At 41.3% G+C, this 12,395-nt stretch overlaps 1 long non-coding RNA gene across 10 annotated transcripts in view; it reads left to right on the top strand.

The window, feature by feature from the left end:
• Positions 1-12,395, top strand: part of LINC-PINT (long intergenic non-protein coding RNA, p53 induced transcript) — a 232,364-nt gene that overhangs the window by 122,997 nt on the left and 96,972 nt on the right. For 8 of the 10 annotated variants that reach the window (NR_109855.1, NR_109854.1, NR_109853.1 and 5 more), the window contains one exon: positions 2,820-2,876. This is a non-coding gene — a long non-coding RNA (long intergenic non-protein coding RNA, p53 induced transcript). Of the gene's footprint in view, positions 1-2,819; positions 2,877-8,400; positions 8,422-12,395 lie in introns of all 10 variants that reach the window. The other 2 variants (NR_170176.1, NR_170175.1) reach the window with 1 other exon arrangement.

The following is a 12,395-nucleotide window of genomic DNA, read 5'->3' as shown; positions in this document are numbered from 1 at the left end:
GTCTCCTTCCAGAATGTTATCTCCTTGAAAAGGCCTTTTGTCTTGTTCAGTGCCTATCCACACCACCTAGAACGAGGTGCACACTATTTGCAGTGCACACTATTTTGAAAGGATGAATGAAATTGACCCTCTCTAACCCCATAACTAGATATGAATTTAGAGCCAAATGTATTATGGGGTTTCTTCCCACCGGTTTTGTTCTCATCCCTATCACATAAGAAGACTGAAGTGTTAGAACATCTTGTAAAAATTAACCACAGCTGTGAGCCATTTAAAACACTCTACGCAGTGAGTTAGGAAATGCCCATTGATTGTTGGTTTGTTAGGTAAATGGGAGAGCACCACACTCAGTGCACACCGGGTCTCCTGTGTGCCAAGCATGCACGGCAGGCCCTGGCGATCAGAGGAGGGGCAGGGAGTGGGGCCTCCTTCTAGGATCTTCACACTGCCTTGCTGTTGACCCCCTGGTTGTGGTGGCATCCCGCAGCAAACCCAGGATCTCATGCACCCTCATCTGAGAGCCACTGCTTTGGTCTGTGTGTGTATGTGTATCCACTTGCCAGGGTTGTTTCATCAAGGACTTCCTTTGGCTGAAATTTGTTTTCCTTTTTGTTTCTAGTGTTTCTTAGTAACCCACTGCCGTGAGTCTTCTCTGCTGCGTTGCTACCCAAATGTGTCTTGAACTTTGTGCTATTTCTTTTTAATATCTGAAGATTTATTTTGGCCATGGAAGTGTAGGAAACAAAAATTTACATAAGTGTATGTAGACAATGCCCATCTAATTACTGGTGACCCAGGGGTGGGGGTGCACAATGTGGGGGATGGAGCCCCTTCAGCAGAGCCCCGTGTCTGTCTGGCAGAATTATCCCTGTTTTTGGCAATGGATGCAACAGATTCTGAAAGCCCGAAGCCACCATTCATTCAAGAACATATCTGTTGAGTAGTCACTACCGGGGAACACGCTAATAAAATGAGCTCAGTGTCCACCCTCATGGAGCTTCTTATAGTCTAGTGAGAGAGAGAGAGATCTAAATTAAATAACTGCATAATGCATAGTTACGTGTAGTTACAAACTGTTTAAGTGCTCTGGTGGAGAAGGTCAAGGTGTCCTGGGAGCTTAGCATAGGGGAATGTGTCCCTATGTAGGTGAGGATGTACAGGTTCCTGGGTAGGCATGTATATCGGGGGAGGGAGGGCAGAATATGTGCATTAATTTTCAAGGAGAGAAAATAAGATGTGCAAAATCTCTGAGGTGTTGAGGGATCTTGTTTATTCATAGGAGTGAAAGGAGACCAGCGTGGCTGAAGTGAGAGGATGACAAGGGAGAGTGGTGCATGGAGGGGGCAGGGCCCCAGCAGGGCCAAGAGTCATCCCCTGTGTTTATCATAGACCAATGCAGAGCACTAAAGGTGGGGCGGGTATAGGTAGGGCTGAGCCACAGTCTGTTTTCTATTTTAAAGGGTTTCTTTTGTGCCAGGCATGGTGGCTCATACCTGTAGCCTAGCATCTCGGGAGGCTGAGGCAGGAGGATCACTTGAGGCCAGGAGTTCCAGGCCAGCCTGGGCAACATAGCAAGACCTTGTCTCTACAAAAAATAAAAAATGAGTGGGCATGGTAGTGCACACCTGTACATTATCTCAGCAACTTGGGAGGCTGAGGTGGGAAGATCGCTTGAGCCCTGGAGTTTGAGGCTATAGTGAGCTATGATTGTAGTACTGTACTCCAGCCTGACTGACAAAGTGAGACCCTGTCTCCAAAACAAACAAACAAACAAAGGGTTTACTCTGGACACATTGTGCATAATGAATTGGAAGGGAGAAAGTGTGGAGGCTGGGAAAACAGCAAGAAGTGTTTTGTATTTGTCCAGGAGAAAGAACAATGGCAGCTTGGACTAGGATGGTGGTGGAGAAGGTAGGATAATGCTTGGCTAGAGAGATCGTTTTGGAGGCCATTGGCATCTAGGTGGTGACTGCTCCGATATGCTCACTGAGCAATCTGCCGTGAATTTGGCCTAATCTTTGCCTGCCTGTGAGGTGCCTATGCCTTGGATTTACTGGCTTCCAAACTGGACGGAGCAAGTGTCCAGGATATCTGACAATTACATTTTTCACTATAAGTCAATACTTTGCCATTTTGGCTTTATCAGTCTCTTGTGAGCTTTGTTAGCATGAATCAGTATTAATCAACATGATCATCTCTGGCACCTTAGTGAGAGAGACTTTTGGAGCCAGAGATTTCAGGGACAGAACCTAGACACTCATGAGTTCCCAAAGGTAAATGTCACCTGCCAGAGATGATGAACAATTACCTTTTCTGGGAAATAACCTCTTTTTTTTAACAAATGCTTTCCATTATCATTTTTTAAAAATTTTCAGTAAATCTTTAAAATCAAATCCACCAATTGTTTCTATCTTTAGAACAGCAATTATTTCACCTAGTGAGGAAACATACTGCCCACCTGAAAAAGAACTGCAGAGGGAGTGTGGTTTGAAAAGTCGTATCAAATGTAGAAGGATTCAAAGTCCAAGAGAATCTTACTCTGTTTCCCTGTGCATCTAACTTTTTATTGTGTCACCTTAATTTCTTTTGAAGCCACAAGTTATTTGTTTTTCAAATCTCTTATTATCTGTGTATGTAGTAATTATGTCTTCTTAAGATTCTATTTAGGAACTCAGTAAAATTAGGCAGGTGAAATAATTGGCTAAAGTTCAGTGAAGCCCTTTTGGCACTCTGAGTTTGGAAAATAGCAAATAATAATGTAAAACATTTTGTGTGCATTTGTACCTACTCACTAACGATATTCTCCTCCTATTTTGCAGGAGGAAAATGGAAGAAACGGAGATACTTTTAGTGAAGCAGAATAAACCACTGAACAGGTAACTGAGATTAGTAGTTCTATATACATTTATTAAATAAGTTAATATTTGTAAAGGCCTAGAATAGTACATAGCACATAGTAAATAGTATGTAGGTGTTTGCTGTTATAAAGTTCTTTTAAATATACGTAAGCCCCAAATAAACCAATTATACAAACCAAAAATACCCAACAAAAGCAAACTCTCCTCCTAAGGCAAGTGCGAACATCATTGGTAAGTTCTGACGTGGCCTCTGTATAGTCTGTTGTCCTGGCTCTGAGAAACGTAACTTAAAACCTCTTTGAAACGTCTTAATCTTTGAGCACCCTAAGTCCTTGAGCACCCATTCATTTTTGTCTTTGACCTTCTAAGTGTCAGATTGGTTTCCAGTTTGAAACCAAACAAACTTCTTTGAAATTCTTGAAGACGTAGTTCCAGGGGAGCATAGCATAGCTTCCAGGTGGCTACTGAAATGGCTGACAGTTACTAAAGATGGTGAGGATAGAGTTAAAAGCAGCAGCACTCCCATTTTCTGATGATGGCAGGTGATAACCTTGGAATAAGAAGCTCCAAACTATCATGCCTGCTTAGGCACTAACTTCCTGTAATTGTAATAAAATTGTTGGCATTGCTGAGACCTACTGACACCTTCAGCAAACGTTAGTAAGGGGCATATTACGTGTCCAGTCCTCTGCTTGGTGATGGGATTTGACATTGAATGGGTTATCTTTCTCCTCACTCCACTCCCATCTCTCTGGATCTTCACCAATTCCTGCCCAGATAGATGCTGTATGTCCTGCTATCCGCCTCGTCCCCAGCCTTGCTGTCTCTCCTGCCAGCTCCCCTTCAGCCCCTCAGCATCCCTTTATTCAGGGTGGGAAAAGATGCCAGAGATGGGGCTGAGAGTTGCATCTGGTAGTTAGACTTTTCTCTCATGGAGTTTATGTTGCATCTTCCTCGGCCCTGACTTCTGCTTCATAATTTACATAGTTTATTTTAAATATGATGATGTATGTTTTACCATGTCTTCCTTCGGGGATTTTGGGATATTACCTTTGACAGTTATGTTTCTGTTTTGGAGGTCTTGCAGCTGGCATTATTAGCTTGAGGGAGAGGTGGGGCACTGGGGGTGCACTGAATATCTCCATGGCTTTCAGACCTTTTTATTAGAACCCCCAGGAGGAAATACCTGTTACCTTAGGGCCCAGCACACATATTTGTACATGTGGGTATGTGGTTTCCTGAAGCTTACTTTATGCAAGCTGGGATAGAGTTTTTTAATTCTATCACTTTTTCTTTTCCCTTTTTCTCTCTTTTTATTGTTCATCATAACCAGCAAAGTGGATTTCTTAACCTGCTAGTCAGTCGGTTGTCCTTTGACAAGCTTGCAGTATTTCAGTGCTATGGTAGGGACGCATGGTTTCTTGCCCTTCTCCCTGTATTCTTCAGTAACTTCTACAGCATTTTTTTACCCCTAAAAATGCCTCAAACCTGCCTTAACTTTATTCTTTATGGGCCGAGCTCTCTCCTTCCTTTTGTAATAAGCTTCTGTTTCTATTTTCTCACCTACTGTTCCCTTCTCAACTTTCTGTCTGAACTTGAACATTCTTCTCCTCCTGATCAATACCTAAGAATGCTTTTGTTTACCGTTTCGAATAAGATCAATCCTTCTGTGCTGTTAGATACCTGGTTATCTCTTGGTTGGTGCCATGGGTTGTAGAGAGACATCTGCTGGCCCAAGTGTAGTGTTGCATTGTTTTTCTGTGCTGAATCACCTTGTCATTTTTTAGTACCTTAAACTTTCATAGTGTGCAAGTGAGCTTGTATATTGGAATGTGTTGAAGTCATCTACCTAATCTCTTCAAGCATTTTTAGCATTTAGCTCAACATCTAATTAATTGAAATGTAGTCATACATTATAACCCAGTTTAAGGAGCTGCAATCTAGTAGGGGAAAAGGATTTCATGGTAAAACCTGAGTCCTCACCTTCATGTATTTTTTAATGAGACTGAAAAATGACAGTTAAATAAAGGTTCAGATCCATTTAAAACTTTTGGAAATGATAATTCACTCTTCCAAGATAAATGAGAACTGAATTTTTTTATTTGTATAAATTTGAAAGGTACAAGTGCAGTTTTGTTACATGGATATATTGTGTAGTAGTGAAGCCTGAGCTTTTAGTGTAACCATCACCTGAATAGTGTACATTGTACCCATTAAATAATTTCTCATGCCTTACCCGCCTCCCACTGTCTCACCCTTCCAAGTCTCCAGTGATTGTTATTCCACACTGTTATGTCCACGTGCACACATATTTAGCTCCACTTATCATTGAGAACATGTAGTATTTGACTACTCACTTCTGAATTTTTTCACTTAAAATAATGACCTCTAGTTCCATCTATGTTGCAGTAGAAGACATTATTTCATTTTTTATGTCTGAGTAGTAGTCCATTGTATATATCACCACATTTTCTTCATCCAGTCATCAGTTGATGGACACTTAGGTGGATTCCATAACTTTGCTCTAGTGAATAGTGCTGTGATAAACATACGAGTGCAGGTATCTTTTTATATAATGATTTGATTTTGGGGTGATATATACCCAGTAGTGGGATGGCTGTATCAAATGGTAGCAGAACTTAATTTTTAACTGGTGTAGGTTTGCAGCTTGGTTTCTTATGTGAGAGGTATGGTTGGTGCTAGCTATAAAGCTAGTGCTGGAAAAAGACAAAATCTGAAATCTATTGCTTCTTTACTTTGAAACTCTAGTTAGATTATCACAGTGATTCTGTACCATCCTTGTCTTAGCAAAATTCTCACTGATTTCAGATGCAAGTTTATAAAGGAATTGCAATTATGTACATACATCTAAGATTTCTCCATAAATATGACAAATTTTAAAGATTATAATTGCAAAATTGTTCTTTTAAACAAAACTAAACCAACATTGACCTATCTTTGAGGGCTGTTTCTAAAGCTAACAGGCAATAAACAAGATATTGTATCCCAATTTCCTGCTTTGAAAAGATCTCATTGGAGTAGTTGGTAGTTGTAGAAGTTTCTAAATGTTTTGTTATTGAAGCCAAGTTGAAGTTGCTCATTTGATTCTTTGACTATGTCCTGATTTCAATTATGATTAACGAAGCCTTTCTGTATCCTTAAATATAACAGATTCACCAAAAATTTAGTCGAATATTAGTATTGTAGATTAACATTTTCCTATATTTTACAATTACTTTTAATTATTTACAGTTATTTTTAAAGCACATAGCACAATTCGGATTACTTTGTTTTGTGGTATCCAGAGTTTGAAAGGATTGTGAGAAGATAATAAAGCAGACTTGAAGGCTGGTGGATGCCGCAGTGTATCTGTCAAAATTATTTGAAAAAGTCACTCTCTAGGATTTCATTTTGATTTCTTTTTTAATTTTCTAAGATTATTTTTAATGATCCATAATGTGTTTTTTTCATTAGATAAATAGAACCCACACAATAATAAAAATTTTCTGATGTTTTCTTCTTAGCCTTACATTAGAGGACATGAATCCTGCTTTGGACATCTGTTCCTCAAATACATTCATTCTTCTTTGACTCACCATTTACTTTGAAGGATAATTAAACCAGTCCAGTATTTTTTTTTTTTTTTTTTGAGATGGAGTCTCGCACTGTCACCTGGGCTGGAGTGCAATGGTGCAATCTTGGCTCACTGCAATCTTCACTTCCCGGGTTCAAGCAATTCTCCTGCCTCAGCCTCCCGAGTAGCTGGCATTACAGGTGCCCGCCACCACACCCAGTTAATTTTTTGTATTTTTAGTAGAGACGGGGTTTCACCATCTTGGCCAGGCTGGTCTCGAACTCCTGACCTCGTGATCCGCCCACCTCAGCTTCCAAAGTGCTAAGATTACAGGCGTGAACCACTACACCTGGCCAACCAGTCCAGTATTCTATGGTCTTGTGCATTTATAGCATTTGGGTTAGGAAACAATTAGTGCATCATCTCTTCCTAGAAAAGGGTCTAGAAAGGCCCGAGGCGATGCAGTAGTACTTTCCTGGCAGTCACATCATTTCGAAGCAGCTGAAAGCCAGTCCTAGGAAAATGACCAAGGGGTTAGACTAGTAGGTGATCTAGAGCCCTCTATAAATTGAGGAAAAACAAAAAAGAGAATAACCATAGACAGCTAATTAAAAATCCTGTCTCGGAAAAACTAAATAAGCAGCTGCTGTATAAGAGCCACAAAGACGTACTCTTTCTGCCTTTCCCAAGGTAGCAACGTGCTATGTAGCTCAACATCACCAGTGTCCTGAAACTGCTCCAACGTTGATCTTGCATTTGCCATTGAACTGAGTTCATTCTCTTTCCTTTCGCCTTTTGAAACACTCTACTACTTGTTCTCTTGCCTCTCTGATTATTTCTTCCAAGTAATTTTATAAGCTACACTAAAACTTGGGTTAGCAATGGGTATTTTTCCCCCCATTTCGTTCTTGGTTGATCAAGTCAAAGTATTATCTCAGCATAGGCAGAGTCCGGTGCTTGGGAAGTGGTATTAAAGAGATTTCAGATAAATACTTCAAAGCCACTTCATTGGAATCCCCAATTTAAAAAAAGTTAAGAAATCATAAAATGAGTCTTTAACTAGATTTTGGTGGTTGTCATTTGGAAGAAATTCTAAGAGTGAATTCCAGCCTGTTTCCTGATTTCCTGTTGTCCTTATTTACTCCTAGTACATGGTACATGACTGGAATCCAGTAGAAAAGCCCCAGAATGTGTATTTTAGTCCCTACAGCCAACAGCTTTGAGAATGTACAGAAAAGGAGGCTAAATCCTTGCCCCTGCTGTGGCTTCAATTCATAAGCTTTTGTCTCTTCTCTGTTCCATTTCAAAAGCTAAAGCTAAGTGTCACAGGACAAGATTGTAGTGGCTTCAGAGAATGGTAGGCTTGAGAAAAAGACTATTGATGATTCAAGGGGATAAATTATGGTAGAAATTTAAACAGTATTTGGGGACATAAAATACTGTTTTTGAGTTGAGTAACCCCAAACAAGAAGAAAAACATGTATTTAAAAAAATATTTTATATTTTTCCCATTTTTTTCTGGCCATTTTTCTTTATTCATTTTCTGAGAGGGAAATGGAAGCGAAAATAGAAACTATTATTTCTTTTTTCAAGACAACCAGGTCGATCATGAAAAGTGTAAGAGGTCACCATCAGGTAGCTAAGCACTTCTTTTAAACCTATGAATAAAGGAAAAAACACAAGATGTTAAATAGTAAGTGTGTATGGTTGCTAGTTTTGAACTTCAGTGCTTAACAATGTCAAAGTCAAAGTGTTCCTGTGTTGCTGTGAAATAAGTACCAATACATGCAGAGTAGCTACTATTGTTGCCACATGCAAAGAAAAGACAGCACACTCAGTAAATTCTTTTAGTTGTGTTTCTTATAGTTAAGGAATGTTGATCTATTTTATGTTTTTGTGGTGTAACTTAACATGGCAAAGAAAACAATCATGTTAATAACATTTTGCGATTATTTTCCATATGCCAAGCGTTGGCTGAAAAACATAAGGGTAAGTACTACAGGTACTATCATTCCAGTTTTATAGAATGTGCATGCTGTAAGAAAGACAAAATTATATTAGTGTATGAATGAACACCATTACCTACCCCTGTTGGGAATCAATGATGATAATCTCATTAGAATATTGTGCTAATTGGCTGCAAATAATATGTCAGCAATATTTACAGCTTTAAAAAGCTTTTGGTTTTAGGTGGTTGATTAGCAGGGATGGCATTACCCGGAAAATACAACTAGGTTATAGTAGTATTAAAAATAACTCAGGTTTTTCTAAGTTTGAAACATTAATATTTTTTATGCTAAAAGGTTTTAAGAAAACACTTGCAATTTACAGCGCCTTGTTTAGTCCTCAGCGATAGAATAGTGTAATTTTAAAAAAACCAAAGTAGGGCCAGGTGTGGTGGCTCAAACTGTAATCCCACCACTTTGGGAGGCTGAGGCGGGTGGATCACCTGAGGTCAGGAGTTCAAGATCAGCCTGGCCAACATGGTGACACCCTGTCTTTACTAAAAATACAAAAATTAGCCAGGTATACTGGCCTGCGCCTGTAATCCCAGCTCAGGAGACTGAGGCAGGAGAATCGCATGAACCTAGGAGGCAGAGGTTGCAATGAGCTGAGACTGCACCACTGCACTCCAGCCTGGGCGGCAGAGTGTCTCAAAAAAAAAAAAAAAAAAGTAGTATTCCCATTTGAAATGTGTATAATCAACATGATACGCCCATATCAGTATTTCAGGTATGCCAACACCAATGATTGGGAAAAAATATATATAGAAGTGGAATTGCTGGATCATATGGTAGCAATTTTTTATTTCTGGAAGAACCTCCATGCTGTTTTCTGTAACAGCTGCATTTTACATTCTCACCAATTGTGTAAAAGGGTTCCAATTTCTCCATATCCCACCACTATTTATCTTTTGTTTTTGTTTTTCTAATAGGCATCCTAAAAGGTGTGAGGTGACATGTTAAGATTTTGATTTGCATTTCTCTTAAGATTAGTGATGTTGAGCACCTTTTCATATACCCGATGGCCATTTGTATGCTTTTTAAAAAATGTCTATTCTGCCGGGCGTGGTGGCTCACGCCTGTAATCCCGGAACTTTGGGAGGCAAAGGCGGGTGGATCACTTGAGGTCAGGAGTTCAAGACCAGCCTGGCCAACGTGGTGAAACAACATCTCTACTAAAATACAAAAATTAGCCAGGCGTGGTGGGGCACGCTTGTAATCCCAGCTACTTGGGAGGCTGAGGCAGGAGAATCACTTGAACCCAGGAGGCGGAGGTTGCAGTGAGCAGATGCACCATTGCACTCCTGCCTGGGTGACAAGTGCGAAACTTCGTCTCAAACAACAACAACAACAACAAAGTCTATTCAAGGCTGGGTGCGGTGGCTCATGCCTGTAATCCCAACACTTTGGGAGGCCGAGGTGGGTGTATCACTTGAGGCCAGGAGTTCAAGACTAGCCTGGGCAACATAGCAAAACCCCATCTCTACTAAAAATACAAAAATTAGCTGGGCATGGTGGTGCAAACCTGTGATCCCAGCTACTCGGGAGGCTGGGGCACGAGAACGCTTGAATCTGGGAGGCGGAGGTTGCAATAAGCTGAGATTGCACCACTACACTTCAGCCTGGGTGAGACCTTGTCTCGAAAAAAAAAAAAGTCTATTCATTTAAAAATGTCTTTGCCCATTTTAAATCAAGTTCTGTTGTTGTTGTTGTTGTTGTTGTTGTTGTTGTTTGGCTTGTTTGTTTGCTGTTGAGTTGTAGGAGTTCATTATATATTTTAGATATTAACTCCTTACTAGATATGTGGTTTGCTAATATTTTCTCCCATTCCGTAGGTTGCCTTTCACTTTATATTTTTTTTTCCTTTGCTGTACTGAGCTTTTCAGCTTGATGTCATCCCACTTGTGTATTTTTGCTTTCATTGCCTGTGCTTCCGTGTCATATTCATGAAATCATTGCCTAGACCAGTGTCAGGAAGCTTTCCCCTATGTTTTCTCCTAGGAGTTTTATAGATTCAGGTCTTACATTTAAATCATTAATCCAGCCAGGCACAGTGGCTCATGCCTGTAATCCCAGCACTTTGGCAGGCCAAGGTGGTTGGATCACTTGAGTTTAGGAGTTTGAGACCAGCCTAGCCAATATGGTGAAACTCTATCTCTACTAAAAATACAAAAAAATAAAATAAAATAAAATAGCCGGACACAGTGGCGGCTGCCTGTGATCCTAGCTACTCAGGAGGCTGAGGCACGAGAATTGCTTGAATCTGGGAGGTGGAGCTTGCAGTGAGCCGAGATCACGCCACTGCACTCTAGACTGGGTGACAGTGAGACTATATCTCCCCCCAAAAAAAAAATCATTAATCCATTTTGAGTTGGTTTTCTGTATGGTGTAAGATAAGGTCTTACAAGAAGACCTGTACTATAAGAAGAAGCAGCTTGTTATAAATTACCCCGTCTAAGGTATTTCTTCACAGCAGTGCAAGAACAGACTAATACAACCTCATCTAACATAGTTGTGGCTCACAGTTCTGGAGGCTGTACAGGAAGCATAGTGGCTTCTGCTTCTGGGGAGGCCGCAGGAAACTTACAATTGTGGCAGAAGTCAAAGGGAAAGCAGGCATGTCTTACATGGTCGGAGCAGAAGAAAGAGCAGTGGGGACAGAGGAGTGCCACAGGCTGTTAAATGACCAGACCTCACAAGAACTCAGTCACTGTTACGAGAACGGCACCAAGGGGGAAATCCACCCCCATGATCCAATCACCTCCCACCAGATCCAGCCTCCAACATTGTGGATTACATTTCAACATGAGATTTGGATGGAGACACAGATCCAAACTGTATCATTCCACCCCTGGCCCCTCCCAAATCTCATGTCCTTCTCACTTTGCAAAACCCAATCATGCCTTCCCAACAGTTCCTCAAAGTCTTGACTTTTTTCCAGCATGACCTCAAAAATCCAAAGTCTCATCTGAGACAAGGCAAGTCCCTTCTGCTCATGAGCCTGGAAAATAACAAACAAGTTAGTTATTTTCAAGATACAATGGAGGTACAGGCATTGAGTAAATACTTCCATTCCAAAAGGGAGAAATTGGCCAAAAGAAAGGGGCTACAGGCCCCATGCAAGTCTGAAACCCAGCAGGGCAGTCATTAAATCTTAAAGCTCCAGAATAATCTCCTTTGACTCTAAGTCTCACATTCAGGACACAGTGATGCAAGGGGTAGGCTCACAAGGCCTTGGGCAGCTCTGCTCCTGTGGCTTTGCAGGATTCAGCCCCTGTGGCTGCTCTCAAGGGCTGGTGTTGAATGTGTATGGCTTTTCCAGGTGCAGGGTGCAAGCTGCCAGTGGATCTACCATTCTGGGGTCTGGAGGACAGTGGCCCTCTTCTCACTGCTCCACTAGGCAGTGCTCCAGTGGGGACACTGTGTAGGGGCTCCAATCTTACATTTCCCCTCTACACTGCCCTAATGGAGGCTCTCCATAAGGGCTCTATCCCTGCAGCAGACTTCTGCCTGGACATCCGGGCTTTTCTATATATCCTCTGAAATCTAGGCGGAGGCTCCTGAGCCTCATTCACTCTTACACTCTGTGTACCCACAGGCTTAACACTACATGGAAGCTACCAAGGCTTATGGCTTACATCCTCCAGAGCAGTGGCCTGAGCTATACCTGGGCCCCTTTGAGCCATGGCTAGAGCTGGAGCTGCTGGGATGCAGGGAGCAGTTCTCATGGCTGTGCAGGGCAGCTGGGCCTGATCCACAAAACCTTTCAGTCTTACTAGGCCTTTGGGCCTGTGATGAGAAGGGCTGCCATGAAGTTCTCTGAAATACTATCGAGGCCTTTTCCCCATTGTCTTGGCTATCAGCACTTGTCTTTCTTTTAGCTTGAATTGCTCTCCTGAAAATGGGCTTTTCTTTTCTGCCACATGGCCAGGATGCAAATTTTCTAAACTTTGGAAACTC

This window comes from Homo sapiens, chromosome 7, assembly GCF_000001405.40.
Source record: "Homo sapiens chromosome 7, GRCh38.p14 Primary Assembly".
Classification (NCBI taxonomy): domain Eukaryota; kingdom Metazoa; phylum Chordata; class Mammalia; order Primates; family Hominidae; genus Homo; species Homo sapiens.
The sequence above is the reverse complement of the archived record's forward strand: the minus strand, read 5'-3'. Positions and strand labels throughout refer to the sequence as shown.